This window comes from Homo sapiens, chromosome 17 (assembly GCF_000001405.40).
Source record: "Homo sapiens chromosome 17, GRCh38.p14 Primary Assembly".
In the NCBI taxonomy this organism is placed as follows: Eukaryota; Metazoa; Chordata; class Mammalia; order Primates; family Hominidae; genus Homo; species Homo sapiens.
This window is the reverse complement of record NC_000017.11, coordinates 38242620-38263079: the sequence shown is the minus strand read 5'-3', so window position 1 is coordinate 38263079 and position 20460 is coordinate 38242620. Positions and strand designations below refer to the sequence as shown.

Below are 20460 nucleotides of genomic sequence, written 5' to 3'. Positions count from 1 at the left end.
AGGTTGGAATGCAATGGCGTGATCTTGGCTCACTGCAACCTCTGCCTCCTGGGTTCAAGCGATTCTCCTGCCTCAGCCTCCCGAGTAGCTGGGATTACAGGCATGCAACACCACGCCCAGCTAATTTTGTATTTTTAGTAGAGATGGGGTTTCTCCACGTTGGTCAGGCTGGTCTTGAACTCCCAACCTCAGGTGATCCGCCCACCTTGGCCTCCCATAGTGCTGGGATTACAGGCGTGAGGCATGGTGCCTAGCCTGGTGTTTTGTTTTTAATCTTTTCTGTGATTTTATAAAAGAAAGTTGCCTCCAGTCTTAGGTTCACGTAGTTTCTCTATGGGGCACACATCTTGTACATACAGGAAAGGCTACAGACTGGGTAAAATATTGTCTCTTGGTTAATTGGTTAGTCAGCTCAATAATAATTGAGATGTACTTTGTGCAGGGTCCAGTACTGAGAGTAATAAAGGAATTAGGAAACAAGCTCTTACTAGTAGTACATCTTGCGAAGATACACATATAAAATAAATTTAAACACAATTATAGGCCGGGCACGGTGGCTCACGCCTGTAATCCTAGCACTTTGGGAGGCCGAAGCGGGCAGATCACCTGAGGTCGGGAGTTTGAGATCAGCCTGACCAACATGGAGAAACCCCATCTCTACTAAAAATACAAAAAATTAGCCAGACATGGTGGCGCATGCCTGTAATTCCAGCTACTCAGGAGGCTGAGGCAGGACAATCGCTTGAACCCAGGAGGCGGAGGTTGCAGTGAGCCGAGATTGTGCCATTGCACTCCAGCCTGGGCAACAAAAGCAAAACTCCATCTCAGAAAAAAACCAGAATAAAACAAAAACAACAACATAATTACAGAGTAACAGTCAGAACAAGTACAAATAAATCAGCAAAAGCCAGTACTTGTGAACTGATGGGAAAAGAGAGTTGGGTGGAGTTAGTCAATGAGGACTTTCTGGAAAAGGTGAGTGTTGAAGGAAGGGAGGGGCCCCGGTTTGCCGAAAAAGATGAGGAGGTCATACCAGCAATAATGCCTGAGCAATGGTAGAGAAGAGAAGAATGAGCAAGCTGTAAGGGCCAAGCATTAAACTGGTTAGCTTGTTAAGACTGGAGAATATATGTTAAAGGATAAGAAAAAACAAGTCTGGGAAAATGATAAGGACAGTTCATGGAGAGCCTTAAATGGTTATGAATTAAATTTGCTTTAACAGACATAATGAAAATAACATTTTGAGAAGCTGAGAAACAGACGAACTATAATAAAATACAACTGGAGAGTTAGGGCCAGGCGCGGTGGCTCACGCCTGTAATCCCAGCACTCTGGGAGGCCGAGGCGGGCGGATCACGATGTCAGGAGATCGAGACCATCCTGGCTAACACGGTGAAACCCTGTCTCTACTAAAAATACGAAAAATTAGCTGGGCTTGGTGGCGGGTGCCTGTAGTCCCAGCTACTCGCGAGGCTGAGGAAGGAGAATGGCTTGAACCTGGGAGGCGGAGCTTGCAGTGAGCCGAGATCGTGCCACTGCACTCCAGCCTGGGCGGCAGAGCGAGACTCTGTCTCAAAAACAAAACAAAACAAAACAAAACTGGAGAGTCAGAACAACAGGGAATCTGCTGCAAGATTCTCAGGAGAGAAAAAAAAAATGCCTAGGTCCTAACTGTGGCTCTACCAATTATTAGTGTATGACCTTAGGCAAGTCCTTGAATTTCTGTGTGCCTGTTTCCTCAAATGTGAAATGGGGATAATGGTGTCCACCTCACAGAGTTGTTGAGAATAATTAAATGAATTAATATATGAAAAGTGTTGGCCAGGCATAGTGGCTCACACTTCTAATCCCAGCACTTTGGGAGGCCGAGGTGGGCGGATCACTTGAGGACAGGAGTTCGAGACCAGCCTGGCCAACATGGTGAAATCCCATCTCTACTAAAAATACAAAAAAATTAACCGGGTGTGGTGGTGGGCACCTGTAATCCCAGCTACTTGGGTGGCTGAGGCAGGAGAATTGCTTGAACCCAGGAGGTGGAGGTTGCAGTGAGCCGAGCTCACACCATTGCACTCCAGCCTGGGCAACAAGAGCGAAACTGCATCTCAAAAAAAACCCAAAACAAAAGAAAAAAAAACAAAATGTTTAGTAAGCACTCGATAAACATTCAATTACAGTTAATTAAATTATTATTATATGGGCTGGGCGTGGTGGTTCATGACTGTAATCCCAGCCCTTAGGGAGGCCTAGGCAGGTGGATCACCTGAGGTCAGGAGTTTGAGACCAGCCTGGCCAACATGGTGAAACCCAGTCTCTACTAAAAATACAAAAATTAAAAAAAGAAAAAGAAATAAAAAGAAAAAAAGAAAAAATAAACAAGAAAAACAAAACAAAACAAACAAACAAATAAAACTAAAAATACAAAAATTAGCCAGGCATGGTGGCGGGCACCTATAATCCCAGCTACTTAGGAGGCTGGGGCAGGAGAGTCGCTTGAACCCGGGGGGCCGAGGTTGCAGGAGCCAATATCATGCCATTGCAATCCAGCCTGGGCAACAAGAGCGAAACTCCATCTCAAAAAAAAAAAAAGTGTTTAGTAAGCACTCGATAAACATTCAATTACAGTTAATTAAGTTATTATTATATGGGCTGGGCACAATGGTTCATGTCTGTAATCTCAGCCCTTTGGGAGGCCTAGGTGGGCAGATCACCTGAGGTCAGGAGTTTGAGACCAGCCTGGCTAACATGGTGAAACTCCATCTGTACTAAAAATACAAAAATTAGTCGGGCATGGTCGTGGGCGCCTGTAATCCCAGCTACTGAGGAGGCTGGGGCAGGAGAATTGCTTGAACCCATGAGGTGGAGGTTGCAGTGAGCTTAGATCACGCCACTGCACTCCAGCCTGGGTGACAGAGGAGACTCCAGCTCAAAAAAAAAAATTATTATATGTTATTTAAATTATTATTTCTCTGACCAGTAAGTGGTCATAGAACTACATATATATAAGAAAAGGCCCCATCTCACACCTTAGTTTGAAAGGATTGCAGATTTTCAATCTGCCTTTCTGAAAAGTATGTAGGATTCAGAGGCTAAGAGGCCAGGCCCAGAGTCCAAAATTGTGCTGCCCAGTACAAGAGCCACTAACCACACGTGACTACTGATCACGTGAAATGTGGATAGTCAGAATTTAGATGTGCTATAAATGTAAAATACACGCTGGATTTCAAAGTTGGTGTGAAGAAAATAAGTAAAATATCTCATTAATTTTTTTTTTTTTTTGAGACGGAGTTTCGCTCTTTTTGCCCAGGCTGAAGTGCAGTGCTGTGATCTCAGCTCACTGCAACCGCCGCCTTCTGGGTTCAAGTGATTCTTCTGCCTCAGCCTCCAGAGTAGCTGGCTAGGATTACAGGCATGCGCCACCATGCCTGGCTAATTTTTGTATTTTTAGTAGAGACGGGATTTCACCATGTTGGTCAGGCTGGTCTTGAACTCCTGACCTCAGGTTATTCACCTGCCTTGGCCTCCCAAAGTGCTGGGATTACAGGCGTGAGCCACCGTGCCCGGCCTCATTAATATTTTTTATATTGATTACATGTTGAAATGATAATATTTTGGATATGTTGGGTTAAATAAGATGTGTTTTCATTTGTTTCCTTTTTACTTTTTTGTGATGTGGCTACTGTAAGATTTAATACTACCTAGTGGTTCACAGTATGTTTCTGCTGGACAGTACTGGTCCATTACAACATACTACATTCAGTTTTGGAAATTACAGGGTTCTATCTGAGAAATTTCTATAAAGAAATATGAAGATTATGGATAAATCTCCTTGCCTTTGACACTTTAAATAACATTTTTTAAATTGTTATTTCATTTTTATTTTTTTAGAGACAGGGCCTCACTCTGTCATCTGGAGTGCAGTGGCACCATTACAGCTCACTGCAGCCTCCATCCACCTCCTGGGCTCAAGTGATCCTCCCGTCTCAGCCTCCCGAGTAGCTGGGATCATAGGCACACGTCACCACACCTGGGCCCACTGTTTTTTTTTTTTTTGAGACAGAGTCTCGTTGTAGCCCAGGCTGGAGTGTAGTGGCGTGATCTTGGCTCGCTGCAACCTCCGCCTCCCGGGTTCAAGCGATTCTCCTGCCTCAGCCTCCCTAGTAGCTGGGACTACAGGCACATGACACTATGCCAGGCTAATTTTTGTATTTTTAGTAGAGATAGGGTTTCACCATATTGGCCAGGCTGGTCTCGAACTCCTGACCTCGTGATCCACCTGCCTCAGCCTCCCAAAGTGCTGGGATTACAGGTGTGAGCCACCGTACCTGGCCCTGGCCCCCCTTTTTAAAGATAATTTCAGTTACATTATATATATATATATATATATATATATATATATATATATGCATTTATATATATACCTCCTCAATTTGCAAGGTATCTACAGAACTGAGAGAGCCACAGATAGTTCACCATTAAAGAGGCCATGATTGCTGAAGGATCTTTTAGTTTAAAAAGAAACAAAGATGAAAATGGGGAAAAGGTGAAACATCCCATTTTATTTTATTATTTATTTATTTTTTTTTTTTTGAGACAGAGTCTCACTCTGTCGCCCAGGCTGGAGTGCAGTGGCGCAATCTCGGCTCACTGCAACCTCCACCTCCCGGGTTCAAGCGATTCTCCTACCTCAGCCTCCCGAATAGCTGGGACAACAGGCGCCCGCCACCAAGCCCGGCTATTTTTTTTTTTTGTATTTTTAGTAGAGACGGGGTTTCACCATATTGGCCAGGCTGGTGTTGAACTCCTAACCTTGTGATCCGCCCGCCTCGGCCTCCCAAAGTGCTGGGATTACAGGCGTGAGCCACCGCGACCGCCCGAAACATCCCATTTTAAACATTAAATCATGGAAACAAAAATATAGTTTTTGAAATCACTCCCTCAAAAGTCCAGATCTCATTGGTTGAAGTAACCTAGATTATTAAAGGTTTTTTTTTTTTTTTTTTTTTGAGACGGAGTCTTGCTCTGTCGCCCAGACTGGAGTGCAGTGGCGCGATTTCGGCTCACTGCAAGCTCCGCCTCCCGGGTTCACGCCATTCTCCTGCCTCAGCCTCCTGAGTAGCTGGGACTACAGGCGCCCGCCACCACGCCCGGCTAATTTTTTGTACTTTTAGTAGCGACGGGGTTTCACCATGTTAGCCAGGATGGTCTCGATCTCCTGACCTCGTGATCCGCCCGCCTCGGCCTCCCGAAGTGCTGGGATTACAGGCGTGAGACACCGCGCCCGGCTATTAAAGGTTTTATAACAAAACTTTCAAATCATCCTTTGAATTTGCTACTAACAGGAACTGAGGCCAGAGAGGCTCAAGTCAGGGCTTTTCGCTGACCTGGAGGCAGAATCCAGTTTGGGGTTTTGCTTGTAACTGGTATTTTATGCATGCGACCCTGGCTGAACTGACCAACTGCGTAGGCTTCAGTTTCCCGAGGGCCCCTTATGCCTTTCCTTCCTCTGATCAAGCCCTTCCCGGCTCCTTCCAGTTGGAAGGCCGCCCCCAGTCCTGAGCGGCGCCGACAGGTGCAGCGCCCGCCTCCCGCCCTGCGCTCGCGCGGGCAACCCTACGCCCTCCCGCCCCGCCGGCCGCGCCCTCGTCCTCGCCGCTCCGCCCTCTGCCCCGGCGTGCGCGCGCACTCCACGGGGGCGCGCCCGGCCGGCGGGGCCGCGCACGCAGCCGCCGCCACCACTTCCCCCTCTCCATCCCTCCTTGCTGGCCCTCCTCCCCTTCCCTCCCCTCCGCCCCCTTCCCCGTAGGCAGCTCGCCCGCCAGTCCGCCCGCACCGCCTCCTTCCCAACCCCTAGCGCTCCGGCTGGGTCTCTCCCCCGCCCCCCAGGCTCCCCCGGTCGCTCTCCTCCGGCGGTCGCCCGCGCTCGGTGGATGTGGCTGGCAGCTGCCGCCCCCTCCCTCGCTCGCCGCCTGCTCTTCCTCGGCCCTCCGCCTCCTCCCCTCCTCCTTCTCGTCTTCAGCCGCTCCTCTCGCCGCCGCCTCCACAGCCTGGGCCTCGCCGCGATGCCGGAGAAGAGGCCCTTCGAGCGGCTGCCTGCCGATGTCTCCCCCATCAACTGCAGCCTTTGCCTCAAGCCCGACTTGCTGGACTTCACCTTCGAGGGCAAGCTGGAGGCCGCCGCCCAGGTACAGCGACCCTCGGGCCCCGGGGCAAGCTGCGGGGCGAGCAGTTAGGCCGCGCCCGCGGGCTGGACTCAGGGCCCGGCCGGGAGGGCGGGCGGGCCTCGAGTCGGGGCTGGGCGGCCGCAGGGCGCCGGGTTCGGCGTGCTCTGCCTTTCTCTGTTGGGGCTGGGGCTGGGGCTGGGGCTGGGGCTGGGGCTGGGGCCGGGGCAGGGACCGTGGCCGGAGCTGAGGCTGGGGCTCGGGCTGAGGCCGCGCTGCGGGAGCTCTGGGGAGCCGGCGGCCCGGCCATTGCGCCCCTCCCCGGCGAGCACACCTGTGTGGGGCTTTCCCCCCCGCCCCGGACCCTTCTGGGCTTGATAGTGTTCCGGGGGAGGCTGGAGGGTGTTGGGGGAGGACGGAGAGGTCATGGGAGTCCCCGCTCTGCCTAACCACCTGACTCAGTTCTTTCTTTGGTTTCTCTCTACACCTCTCGGGTGATAGATTGGAGGGAGTGGTCATTTGGGACTCTGGCCGCCGCGTTGGAGCGAGGAGGGGAGCTTCTAGAAGGGCGGGAGAGGGTGAGAACGAGAATGTTAATCCTAGGCAGCCTCTCTGACTTCTCCCCGCCTGCTCCAGCCCAGGGGCTGGGTTTCCAAGATGATCCGCCCCCTCCCCCTTTCCCTCAAGTGACAGTGCAGCAGTGACTTTGTTCTCTCCTAACCTCTAGAGAAGCTGTGGGAGGACCCCATCTCCGCTTTTCCACCTATCTTCCTAGCTTTGCGGCCTTCGAAGCTGGTGGATTTATTGCTACCGTGATGGTTGCTTAGCAGTACCTTCCTCTCCCAAGAAGCTGGCTGGGCGCAGTGGCTCATGCCTGTAATCCCAGCACTTAGGGAGGCTGAGGCGGGCGCACTTGAGGTCAGGAGTTCGAGACCAGCCTGACCAACATGGTGAAACCCCCGTCTCTACTAAAAATACAAAAATTATCGGGGCGTGGTGGCGGGCCCCTGTAATCTCAGCTACTCGGGAGGCTAAGGCAGGAGAATCACTTGAACCCGGGGGGCAGAGGTTGCAGAGTCGAGATCGCGCCACTGCATTCCTGCATTCCAGCCTGGGCGACAGAGTGAGACTCCGTCTCAAAAAAAAAAAAAAAAAAAAGGAAAGAAAGAAGCTATTAGTTATAACATACCACCGGTGAAAATATTCCATTACTCTTCACTGCAGTTTTTGGTGAATCATACTCCCCTCCCTCCTCCCGCAGCATTATCTGAAGTATTGTTTGATTTTGGAGACCATCAGTATAGATGCCCGACAAACATCCTGCACAATAGGCATTTATGATACTATGTAACAGGAAGCCTGTAATAAAAATGGGAACTGTTTGATAGTTATCTGTAAATAGAATGTTAGTAAATATATTTTGTTTCATTTCTTTTCCTACTGCAGTCTGGGGTCGGGGGAAATCAGTAGGCTCCCACCTTAAAGAACATGGTGTATATAGTAATGAAATGAAGTGAAGACTTGTGCTCGAATGAATTGAATGTTGGTAGTTGTCTTTGAAAACCAAGAGGGTACGGTACTCAGATTAAAAATATGTCTAAAAGTACAGAATTTAAAAGTATAGTTATCTATACTTTATACTTATCTGTGATAGATAACTATAGCTGTCACATTTGGGGCATTGGTGTGAAAGCAAGAGGGCTCTAGGATTTGGCAGCATCAAAAGGCAGAACTTAGTGAAAATCAGGTGATTTAAAATTTTTCCATTAAGAATATGAATCAGAACGAATGCATCTTGGGTCTAAATTAGAATTTGAGAAGGTTATTTGGGAAACTGTGGCTTAAGCCAAGTGACTAGAGTGTTTGATATATATTGGCAAGGGGCAGATGGGAGGGATTGTAAACAGTAGTGTGTCTTGTGACTTGGCAAACCTTTGGGAAAGAGAACCTAGTGATGAATGAGTTCGCATTATGTGAAAAGACTAACATTAAAAAAAACATTTGTTTCTTTACCCCATTAGTTGCCAAAATGGATTCATAATTTTTGGAGGCAGACATATTTTGGGAAAAGTCTAGAAAAAAGTACAGATTTTTAAATAATTACTTATTAAAGAAGTGAGTTTGATTTAAGTATCGGGATAGAACAACAAGCAGTGACATGTTTCTCCTTACCTCTTTTCTACTTTAGTGGAAGACTGGTTTGTGCCATTGAGTGAGCATATGGTAATATACTAGATATTAGCAGGGACTTGTTAATTTGATGCAAGGAAATAAATAAAAAATAAATAAATTTTGTAAGTAGCATGAACTTTTCAAAACACTTTTTTTCCAGAAATTCTTTTCAGGCTAGATGGCAACACAAAGATGACGCAATAGTGAATTCCAACAGGTTTTATTAAAGGATGATTGGACTTTTAAATTGTACTAATTGACATGTTTGGAAGGGTAAAAAAATTAACATTGGTAAGAAGTAAAAAGCATATATTAATGTTTTTGAAATCCATGAATTAGAGCAATACGTTTAAATTGTGGCATTAGGTGGTATCTTGTGGGAATTTTAAAATATTCACAAAATTCTTTTTTTTTTTTTGAGATGGAGTCTCGCTCTGTCGCCCAGGCTGGAGTGCAGTGGCACGATCTCGCCTCACTGCAAGCTCTCTGCCTTCCGGGTTCACGCCATTCTCCTGCCTCAGCCTCCCAGGTAGCTGGGACTACAGGTGCCCGCCACTGCGCCCAGCTAATTTTTTGTATTTTTAGTAGAGATGGGGTTTTACTGTGGCCTCGACCTCCTGACCTCGTGATCTGCCCGCCTCGGCCTCCCAAAGAGCTGGGATTACGGGCGTGAGCCACTGTGCCTGGCGACAAAATTCTTTTTTTTTTTTTTTTTTTTAAATTTATTTTTTTACTGATAATTCTTGGGTGTTTCTCACAGAGGGGGATTTGGCAGGGTCATGGGACAATAGTGGAGGGAAGGTCAGCAGATAAACAAGTGAACAAAGGTCTCTGGTTTTCCTAGGCAGAGGACCCTGCGGCCTTCCGCAGTGTTTGTGTCCCTGATTACTTGAGATTAGGGATTGGTGATGACTCTTAACGAGCATGCTGCCTTCAAGCATCTGTTTAACAAAGCACATCTTGCACCGCCCTTAATCCATTTAACCCTGAGTGGACACAGCACATGTTTCAGAGAGCACAGGGTTGGGGGTAAGGTCACAGATCAACAGGATCCCAAGGCAGAGGAATTTTTCTTAGTGCAGAACAAAATGAAAAGTCTCCCATGTCTTCTACTTTCTACACAGACACAGCAACCATCCGATTTCTCAATCTTTTCCCCACCTTTCCCGCCTTTCTATTCCACAAAGCCGCCATTGTCATCCTGGCCCGTTCTCAATGAGCTGTTGGGCACACCTCCCAGACGGGGTGGTGGCCGGGCAGAGGGGCTCCTCACTTCCCAGTAGGGGTGGCCGGGCAGAGGCGCCCCTCACCTCCCGGACGGGGCGGCTGGCCGGGCAGGGGGACAAAATTCTTATCTGTAGAAACCTATATTTATGACTGATATTGGATCAGTTTCCTAACAGTTGGAATCACATAACACAAAATATGCAAGTTGCTTAGTTGCTTTAGTTACAAAATTTTACGATAAGCCCAGAGTATTTGTACAGGTTACATATTAGAAACTTAGTGGATTTATTTTATTTTTTATTTTTATTTTTTTGAGACGGAGTTTCGCTCTTTCTCCCAGGTTGGAGTGAAGTGGTGTGATCTCGACTCACTGCAGCCTCCACCCTGTCCCCCTGCCGGGTTCAAGTGAGTCTCCTTGCCTCAGCCTCCTGGGTAGCTGGGACTACAGGTGTGTGCCATCACGCCCAACTAATTTTTGTATTTTTAGTAGAGATGGGGTTTTGCCATGTTGGCCAGGCTGGTCTCGAACTCCTGACCTCAGGTGATCCCCTTCCCTTGGCCTCCCAAAGGGCTGGGATTATAGGCATGAGCCACCATGCCCGGCCAACTTAGTGGATTTTTAACCTGGCCTGGGGTGTGGACTGCTGCAGAAGGTGAAGAAATTAGTCCATGTTCAGTGATTTAAAAATTAGTTGTCTTGGCCGGGCACGGTGGCTCACACCTGTAATCCCAGCACTCTGGGAGGCCGAGGCGGGCGGATCACGAGGTCAGGAGATCGAGACCATCCTGGCTAACATGGTGAAACCCCATCTCTACTAAAATACAAAAAATTAGCTGGGCGTGGTGGCGGGAGCCTGTAGTCCCAGCTACTCAGGAGCCTGAGGCAGGAGAATGGCGTGAATCTGGGAGGCGGAGCTTGCAGTGAGCTGAGATTGCGCCACTGCACTCCAGCCTGGGCGACACAGCAAGACTCTGTCTCAAAAAAAAAAAAAAAAAAAAAAAAATTAGTTGTCTTTCACATTAGTGTGGTCTAGCTGGTTTTGAAAATTTGTTATTATACAGAAGTTTCTCTAGGCCCAAAATTTATTTCATTCCCTGTCCCCTCCCTTTACACTGGATACTTGAGAGCAGTGGACTTTTGTAGATATTTCATATTTTGATCCTCTCCGTTTGTGGATAATTAATTAAAATGAATTATAAGTTTATGTGTGTGACTACTATTTATGATTATGAGTGTGTAGTGGTTGGTACAATAATTGGGTATTCTTTTTTTTTTTTTTTTTTTTGAGATGGAGTCTTGCTCTGTCACCCAGGCTGGAGTGCAGTGGTGCGATCTTGGCTCACTGCAGCCTCTGCCTCCCGGGTTCAAGCAATTCTCCTGCCTCAGCCTCCTGAGTAGCTGGGACTACAGGCACGCGCCGCCATGCCTGGCTGATTTTTTTGTATTTTTAGTGGAGATGGGGTTTCACCATATTAGCCAGGATGGTCTTGATCTCCTGACCTCATTCCATCTTCCTCGGCCTCCCACAGTGTTGGGATTACAGGCGTGAGCCACCGTGCCCAGCTGGGCTTTCTCTTATGGAAATACTTTACCTGTGCCAGAGAAACTAAGTTTATCATTCAAGGCCAGAAATCAGGATATCCTAGCCAACCCCTGGCCTCTACTAACAAAATATTCATGTTGGAGATAACTAAATTGGCACTAAGTGAAGAGTTGCCAATATAGAAGTTTGTTTGGCATATTAAAAATTTGGCACCTGAATGGTTATTGTCAATTCTGTGTTACAAATTTTTTGCCCAAATTCTGCATATTTTCTCTTTTTTTTTTTTTTTTTTTTTTTGAGATGGAGTTTCGCTCTTGTTGCCCAGGCTGGAGTGCAGTGGCATGATCTCAGCTCACTGCAGCCTCCACCCCCCCAGGTTCAGGCAGTTCTCCTGCCTTAGCCTCCCAAATAGCTGGGATTACAGGCATGTGCCACCACGCCCAGCTAATTTTTTCTGTTTTTAGTAGAGACGGGGTTTCTCCATGTTGGTCAGGCTGGTCTCGAACTCCTGACCTCCGGTGATCCACCTGCCTCAGCCTCCCAAAGTGCTGGGATGATGGGCGTGAGCCACCGAGCCACCGTGCCTGGCTTCTTTTTTTTTTTTTTGAGACGGAGTTTTGCTCTTGTTGCCCAGGCTGGAGTTCAATGGCGCGATCTCGGCTCACCGCAACCTCTGCCTCCCAGGCTCAAGCGTTTCTCTTGCCCCAGCCTCCAGAGTAGCTGGGATTACAGGCGCGCACCACCAAGCCCAGCTAATTTTTTGTATTTTTAGTAGAGAGAGGGTTTCATCATGTTGGCTAGGCTGGTCTCAAACTCCTGACCTCAGGTGATCCACCCGCCTTGGCCTCTCAAAATGCCGGGATCACAGGCATGAGCCACCGTGCCTGGCCATTTTCTGCATATCTTCTATGTAATCATTTTGGCCGACACTGTGGCTCACTCCTGTAATCTTAGCACTTTGGGAGGTGGAGGTGGGAGAATTGCTTGAGCACAGGAGTTTGATACCAGTGTGGGCAACATAGCAAGACCCTGTCTCCAGGGAAAAAAAAAAAAGGAAGAAATTTTCTTAAAAAAAATTCATATATATAAAATTAAATTCAAAATATTGGTGATAAGGAATTGAATTTGTTCAGATTTTCTGTTTTTTGAAATGTATCTATGAGGAAAGAAGTATAATAGTTTTGTATGCTAAGCTTTGTCTAATTCATCTGGCAATGAATTCTGCAGTGATTTTTCCAGATAACTGAAGTTTACCCTTTGAGGCCCTTAGACATTTTTAAAAAAGTTTACTAGGCTGGGTGTGGTGGCTCACGCCTGTAATCCCAGCACTTTGGGAGGCTGAGGTGGGTGGATCATGAGGTCAGAAGTTTGAGACCAGCCTGGACAACATGATGAAACCCCATCTCTACAAAAAAATACAACAATTAGCCGGGCGTGGTGGCACATGCCTGTAATCCCAGCTACTCGGGAAGCTGAGACAGGAGAATTGCTTGAACTCAGGAAGCGGAGGAGCGGAGGTTGCGGTGAGCTGAGATCACGCCATTGCACTCCAGCCTGGGTGACACAGCGAGACCCTGTCTTAAAAAAAAAAAAAGTTGACTAATCTGAATGGAAATATTTCTAAAATACATTATCTTTTTATGCTTTGCAATTCCTCATAGTGTAGGTTTGTTTCATTGTTTTTTTTAAATACTGAACTTTATTCTGAACATCTCTTATTGACCCCAAACTATGTACTATAATTTATCAGTTTCATGTCTGTTTTTTTTTCTTTTTTTTTCTTTTTGAGACGGAGTTTCGCTCTGTTGCCCAGGCTGGAGTGCAGTGGCACAATCTCGGCTCACTGCAACCTCTGCCTCCCGGGTTCAGGCAGTTCTCCTGCCTCAGCCTCCCTAGTAGCTGGGATTACAGGCATGCACCACCACGCCTGGCTAATTTTGTATTTTTAGTAGAGACAGGGTTTCACCATGTTGGCCAGGCTGGTCTTGAACTCCTGACATCAGGTGATCTGCCTGCCTCCGCCTGCCAAAGTGCTGGGATTACAAGTGTGAGCCACCGCGCCAAGCCATATCTGTTCTTTTTTTTTTTTTTTTTTTTTGAGACAGAGTCTCACTCTGTTGCCTAGGCCAGGCTGGAGTGTGCAGTGGTGCGATCTCGGCTCACTGCAACCTCCACTTCCCTAGTTCAAGGGATTCTCCTGCCTCAGCCTCCCTAGTAGCTGGGATTACAGGTGCATGCCACCACACCTGGCTAATTTTTGTATTTCTGTAGAGACCAGGTTTCACCATGTTAGCTAGGCTGGTCTCAAACACCCGACCTCAGGTGATCCGCCCGCCTCTGCCTCCCAAAGTGCTGGGATTACAGGCATGACCCACCGCGCCTAGTCCATATCTGTTCTTTTTTTTTTTTTTTTTTTTTTGAGACAGAGTCTTGCTCTGTTGCCAAGGCCGGAGTGCAGTGGCGTGATCTCAGCTCACTGCAACCTCCGCCTCCCGGGTTTAAGCGATTCTCCTGCCTCATCCAAGTAGCTGGGACTACAGGCACCTGCCATCATGCCAGGCTAATTTTTGAATTTTTAGTAGAGAAGGGGTTTCACCATATTGGCCAGGCTGGTCTCGAACTCGTGACCTTGTGATCCACCCGCCTCGGCCTCCCAAAGTGCTGGGATTACAGGCCTGAGCCACCGCACCCGGCTAGCCTGTGTCTGTTCTTTAAAATTGTTTTGTTTTCCTTACTCTCAGATTCTTCTTGCTGCTTATTGTGCCTTGTTGCTGCCTGTTGTGCAATTTCTTCCCTCTTGTATTTTACTGAACTTCATCTGAAGAAGCCTTAGTAGCCAGATAAACAAGCTTGTTTGGGCTAAAAAATCAATTGCTGTGTGAGAGTTTGTTGGATTCTCTTCTGAGTAAAGGGTATGTGTTTTATTGTACGGACTTTGTATCACCTATTTTGGCTTTTCATCCAGGCCTTTTTTTTTTTCTTTCTTTTTAGCTTCCTGGTTCTAGATACAACTGATACTCTGATACAACCTGGGTAAATGTGGTCTTGAGTAGTAAATTATCTGTGAAGCTTCTCCGAACTTTGCCACATAAATGAGCCTGCTCTTGTTGTGAAGTAAATCTTACTCTAATCTGTATGTGAGTCAGTGGGAAATAACTGAGCCTTCGGATGGCTTTTGTTGTTAACTGAGATTAGTTCTCTAGATTTTAGTGATTTTGTTTTGAACACCATACAAGTATGTGGTTCTTGGTTTATTTGGTCACTTGTAATCTCTTTAAAATTTTATTTTAAATTAGGAAGTATTTTAGAAATACAAGAAAGTCACACACTATGAGATTAAACAGATGTTAACATTTTGCCCCATTTTCATCAGACTGTGCATGCTTTTTTTGGGGGGGAATAAAATGTCACAGATACCACTAAAGCCCGTTTCCATCTCGTCCCACCCTGCCTCTAGAAGTAACTTCTTTCTTCAGGTAGGTGCGTATTATTCCTTTTTATTCCTACGTATAGTTTAAAACTTTAATTGCATATTAGTAGCCACAAACATCACATACCAATATTCTGTGCCTTTTGCATTTTTACATTAATGGTAATTATTTTTGACCTTCTGCAAATGGCTCTTTTCAGTGTTTCTTGTTAGAAAACTTGGCTCAACTTGAGTTTACTAATTATCTGCTTCTTCTTGTCTTTAGCTATTATAGAACTGTTCCACCAAGGCAACAATTATTGCTATTTTAATGGTGAAATCAGTTTTATTAGGCAAATTGACTCAGGCTTCAGACTGGCATTTGGAATTGTCACACTGGAGATTTTCTTTTACTGAAGTCTCAGGACATTGACAATCAGAAAAAAACCCTCTTGAGTCTTACTATCGTACATGTAAGATATGTTCCTGAGTGACTATAGTAAAGACTCATTCAGGAAAATGTTATCTCCGATTTCTGCCTCCCTAGCTCATAGGAAACTTCCATTGTAAAGTTGTTACCAGGCGTCAAGCTGCCTCTTTGGTACAGCCCTTACTTAGTATTTGGCTCAGTTGAAGTGCAGTCTATATAGGAGGCCAAGAAGACTTAATCCTGGGTTTGAAACAAAGCAAGGATACACTAACATTCTATCCTTTAATAACATCAAGTAGAAAAATTGAAAATGAGCTTGTTATCAGTGCACTTTTATATGCCAACCTTGTTTCACTTGTGTTTTAAACTGGGAAACTGAAGATTTTAATGCTGAAATTTCTTTGAATTATTACCTGTTTTTTTGATAGTGGAACACACAGCTAATATTTACTAATATGAAGGTGTCAAAGGTGAGAAATCATGTACTACACCATCAGGTCAGCACTACTGTTTGGAAGAGCAGCATCACAAAGAGCAGTGTTATACTGCGTTGTAGTCAGCACATACACTTATGTCCAGACAGATATTTTAAATTACCTTCTTGGGGTAGTACACATATGCTGATATCCAAAGTGCCATATAATACAATACATAGTTTTTAAACTTCATATCATTCTGATCAGAAGCTTTATAAACTGTTAGGTGAATGCTGTTAGATGATATGAGAGCACAATTTAACCTGTGTGTGTGTATATGTATGTCTTAACATCTATTAAGTGATGACTACATATGAGGCACTAAGTGCTAAAACAGAGACTTTACATAGATTATCCCATTATTGGTCAACTTTTTAAATAAGTGCATCTCTAATATAAGACAAGATGCTGACCAATTTTTAAAATGTGAATGGATTTCTATTTTTAAGATAAGTACCTTTGTTCCTTTGGTTCCTCCCTCCCACCCTTCCAGAAATGGTAGTATCCTGGAAAAAAAAAATTAGTAGCAATTCAAGAAACAGCTTAATTCATTAGTATAAATAGATGAGTTTCCCCTAAACACAGGAGGAGTTGGAAGGTACTTGAAATTGGATGTTGTGCATGGTGCCTTTCCAAAATGCACAAATACTTTCTCTCAAATGGTTGCAGTAGTAATGTGCTGTGTGATTTGGCATGTATAATGTTGTACAGGTATCTTGACATTGGTGGATTAACTGCTTGGCTACTGTGAAATTCACTGTAGATGTTGATGGATGAAAGTGTGGTTGCCTAGGTAATGATTAAGACCAGTAACTAAACCACAGTTATTATTTTGCTGGCATAAACTTCAAACTCAGAAAGGTTTTTATTCATTTTACCCATTGGAGCATACCCCAGTAAGTGCTTCATTTCTTTGTGTTTCTGATTTTTTTTTTTTTTAAGATGGAGTCTTGCTTTTGTCGCCCAGGTTGGAGTGCAATGGCGCGATTTCGGCTCACTGCAACCTCCACCTCCTGGGTTCAAGCGATTCTCCTGCCTCAGCCTCCCGAGTAGCTGGGATTACAGGTGCCTGCCACCACGCCCAGCTAATCTTTGTATTTTTAGTAGAGATGGGGTTTCACCATGTTAGCCAGGCTGGTCTCGAACCCCTGACCTCGTGATCCACCCACCTTGGCCTCCCAAAGTTCTGGGATTACAGGCATGAGCTGCCGTGCCCAGCCATGTTTCTGAATTTTTAAGTCAACTTCTGAATAGGCAAAGAATTCTTTTTGTTTTTTTGTTCAACTTTAGTGCTATAAATCGCCAGTTGGACACAAAGGTTTTAGTGCTATTTAGGTATGTTTTGGTGAAATAGTGTGAAGGAATATTGCTGCTTAAAAGATAAGCCATTCATTAAATGACGTCTTTGTTTTGAAACATGAAGACTTATGAGAAGCATTTTTTTTGTAAGCCAAAGTAGTTTCACTTTATGTGTTACAGATTTTGAATAGCTCATTATAGACTTTGTAATTTACTGTCTCTCATTTAGGCAGGTAATTTTAGTTGCCAGCTAATCATGTTTAAATATGTATTGGTTATTAATAAATGATTACCCGTATACAGGTCTTTCATGCAGATAGCGTACTACTCTGATGTTCTTACCTAGTTTTGTGGTATGTTCAGTTGTCTAAGAGCATTGTTGATCTGCACACAGATTTTGTTTGGTCTATACAGTGTTTCTGAAAACTTGAATTAGTTACCATTAATAAAAAATAGAGAGACTGCACATGAAATCTGAATTTGTAGCTTTTAAAAAAAAAATTGGAAGATCAGGCCAGGTGCGGTGGCTCATGCCTGTAATCCCAGCACTTTGGGAGGCCGAGGCGGTCAGATCACCTGAGGTCGGGAGTTCGAGACCAGCCTGACCAACATGGAGAAACCCCGTCTGTACTAGAAATACAAAATTTACCGGGCGTGGTGGCACATGCCTGTAATCCCAGCTACTAGGGAGGCTGAGGCAGGAAAATCGCTTGAACCTGGGAGGCGGAGGTTGCGGTGAGCCGAGATCACGCCATTGCACTCCAGCCTGGGCAACAAGAGCAAAACTCCGTCTCAAAAAAAAAAAAAAAAATTGGAAGATCTGTCAGCACTAAACCTGCCAGTCACCATAGCGATAATTCTTTGGCTCCAAGAAATGGCTACCACCTCCTTCTTTTAAGGGGTTGTGCACAGCTTCCACATGGCTTGCTACACTTACCTGCCTCAGGAAGCATTTCTTTGTGATTTAGGGCATCTGTGTTTTTGTTATTTTAGATTTAGAACATTCAAATGTCTGGAAATGAATTTGAAGTTTTGTTTTAAGCAAGGTTATGACTAAATTGAAAAATGCACAAGAGGCCAGGCGTGGTGGCTCACGTCTGTAATCTCAGCACTTTGGGAGGCTGAGACGGGCGAATCACGAGGTCAGGAGTTTGAGACCAGCCTGACCAACAAGGTGAAACCCCATCTCTACTAAAAATACAAAAATTAGATGGGTGTGGTGTTGCACACCTGTAATCCCAGCTACTCAGGAGGCTGAGGCAGGAGAATCACTTGAACCTAGGAGATGGAGGTTGTAGTGAGCCAAGATCGCATCATTGCACTCCAGCCTGGGTGAGAGAGCGAGACTCCATCTCAAAAAAAAAAAAAAAAAAGAAAAATGCACAAGAGTGTTAAACAAGCAGTTCACAGTGGAAAAACTTAATGGCGCGTGCACACACACACACACACGAGAAAAGATGCATAGTAACCAATGTTATTAGTAATCAGGGAAATTCTGATTAAACCAATGGACTATCAGTACAAAAATTTTTTTTTTTAATTTTTGAGACAAAGTTTTGCTCTTGTTGCCCAGGCTGGAGTGCAATGGCTCAATCTAGCTCACTGCAACCTCCACTACCTGGGTTCAAGTGATTCTCCTGCTTCAGCCTTCCAAGTAGCTGGGATTACAGGCACGCACCACAGGCCTGGCTAATTTTTTTTTTTTTTTTTTTTTTTTTTTTTTTAGTAGAAATGGGGTTTCACCATGTTGGTCAGGCTGGTGTTGAACTCCTGACCTCAAGTGATCCACCCACCTCAGCCTCCCAAAGTGCTGGGATTACAGGCGTGAGCCACTGTGCCTGGCCAGGACTATCATTTAATACCCATTAGATTGTCAAAAATACTAAAGTTTTTCAGAACATGCTGAAAGTGGGATTTCTTCATTCTTTGCTCATGGGAATGTCAGTTGACACCACTCTAGAGGATAATTTGGCAGTTCTTGGTAAAGTTGAAGATTTATGTCCAACAATCCAGAAAGTCCACTATTAGGTTCCTTTCCATGGAAAAATTCTCTCATGTGTGCACAGGAAAACATGGACCAAGATGCTAGTTTGTTTGTTTATTTATTTATTTATTTATTTTTGAGACAGAGTCTTGCTCTGTTGCTCAGGCTGGAGCGCGGTGGCACAATCTCCGCTCACTGCAAGCTCCGTCTCCCAGGTTCACATCATTCTCCTGCCTCAGCCTCCCGAGTAGCTGGGACTACAGGCACCTGCCACCATGCCCGGCTAATTTTTTGTATTTTTAGCAGAGACGGGGTTTCACCATGTTAGCCAGGATGGTCTCGATCTCCTGACCTCATGATCCGCCTGCCTCGGCCTCCCAAAGTGCTGGGATTACAGGCGTGAGCCACCGTGCCCGGCCTTAATTTTTGTATTTTTAGTGGAGATGGGGTCTCTCTACTCTCTATGTCAGCCAGGCTGGTCTTGAATTCCTGGCCTCAAGTGATCTGCCTGCCTGACCCTCCAAAAGTGCTAGGATTACAGGTGTGAGCCACCACACTCGGTGGTAAGAGTTATTGTATAAAGTTTTGACATAATTTATAGTATCAGCCTTCTTCCTCTATCCTCACAGAAGGCCTCATGGTGAGTTTGATGTGCAGGTTAAAATATATAATTATTGCAATATGTTGTAAGAAATGTTTCCTAATTAAGATTTTTATGAAATTAAACGTATTTATTTATTTATTTTGAGATAGAGTTTCACTCTGTTACCAGGCTGGAGTGTAGTGGCAGGATTTCAGCCCACTGCAATCTCTGCCTCCCGGGTTTAAGCAATTGTCGTGCCTCAGCCCCCTGAGTAGCTGGAATTACAGGCCTATGCCACCTTGCCTGGCTGATTTTTGTATTCTTTTTTTTTTTTTTGAGACGTAGGCTCACTCTGTCGCCCAGGCTGCAGTGCAATGGTGCGATCTCGGCCCATTGCAAGCTCACCTCCTGGGTTCAAGTGATTCTCCTGCCCCTGCATCGTGAGTAGCTGGGATTACAGGTGTGTGCCACCAGACCTGGCTAATTTTTAGTAGAGATGGGGTTACACCATGTTGGCCAGGCTGATCTCAAACTCCTGACCTCAAGTGATCCGCCTGCCTCGGCCTCCCAAGGTGCCAAGATTACAGGTGTGAGCCGATGCCCCCAGCCTATTTTTATTTTTTGAGACAGAGTCTCACTCTGTTGTTCAGGCCGGAGGTCAGTGATGTAATCATAGCTCACTGCAGCCTTGCTTGACCTCCTGGGCTTAAGGGATCCTCCTCCTTCAGCCTCTCCTGTAGTTAGGACTATAGGTGGGTACCAGCACCCTCCTAATTTAAAATTTTTTTTTGTCTCACTGTGTTGCCCAAGCTGGTCTTGAATTTTTGACCTCAAGTAATCCTCCTGCCTCAGCCTCCCAAAGTGTTGGGATTACAGGCATGAGCCACTGTGCCCAGCCCTTTAATAGTTTAAAATCAAAGTTTAAGTAGAAAACATTATTTTATTTGGCTCATTGGTTAGATGTAAGTGATGTGAAATACTTAAACATCCATTATTGTTTTTAATATAATTTGGAAAATATGAGTTGCTTTGGATTATTAAAACTTCATTTATTTGTACCATTGATGCATAAATTCTCAGTCTAGGTTTTAGCGAAGTCTGGATTTTAAAAAATTGACTGTGATATTAGTTCAAGTCTTACGAACATCATTATTATTATTATTTGAGAGACACAGAGT

The 20460-nt window shown here is 45.3% G+C and overlaps 1 pseudogene across 1 annotated transcript in view, besides 2 other annotated features; it reads left to right on the top strand.

Annotated features, from left to right (window-relative positions):
• Positions 5510-6043: an enhancer, noted in NCBI's record as "H3K27ac hESC enhancer chr17:36413044-36413577 (GRCh37/hg19 assembly coordinates)". NCBI's record gives its function as "activates a minimal SCP1, AML or CMV promoter by ChIP-STARR-seq in naive H9 embryonic stem cells {active_cell/tissue: H9 hESC(naive)}" and the evidence as "EXISTENCE:reporter gene assay evidence [ECO:0000049][PMID:30033119]".
• The window catches only part of NPEPPSP1 (NPEPPS pseudogene 1), a 61510-nt pseudogene continuing 46880 nt past the window's right edge, over positions 5831-20460 (top strand). Inside the window, exon 1 of the transcript NR_036750.2 lies at positions 5831-6182. The product of NR_036750.2 is annotated as an NPEPPS pseudogene 1 (transcript). The remainder of the gene's footprint in view (positions 6183-20460) is intronic.
• Positions 19213-19712: an enhancer, noted in NCBI's record as "H3K27ac hESC enhancer chr17:36399387-36399886 (GRCh37/hg19 assembly coordinates)". NCBI's record gives its function as "activates a minimal SCP1, AML or CMV promoter by ChIP-STARR-seq in naive H9 embryonic stem cells {active_cell/tissue: H9 hESC(naive)}" and the evidence as "EXISTENCE:reporter gene assay evidence [ECO:0000049][PMID:30033119]".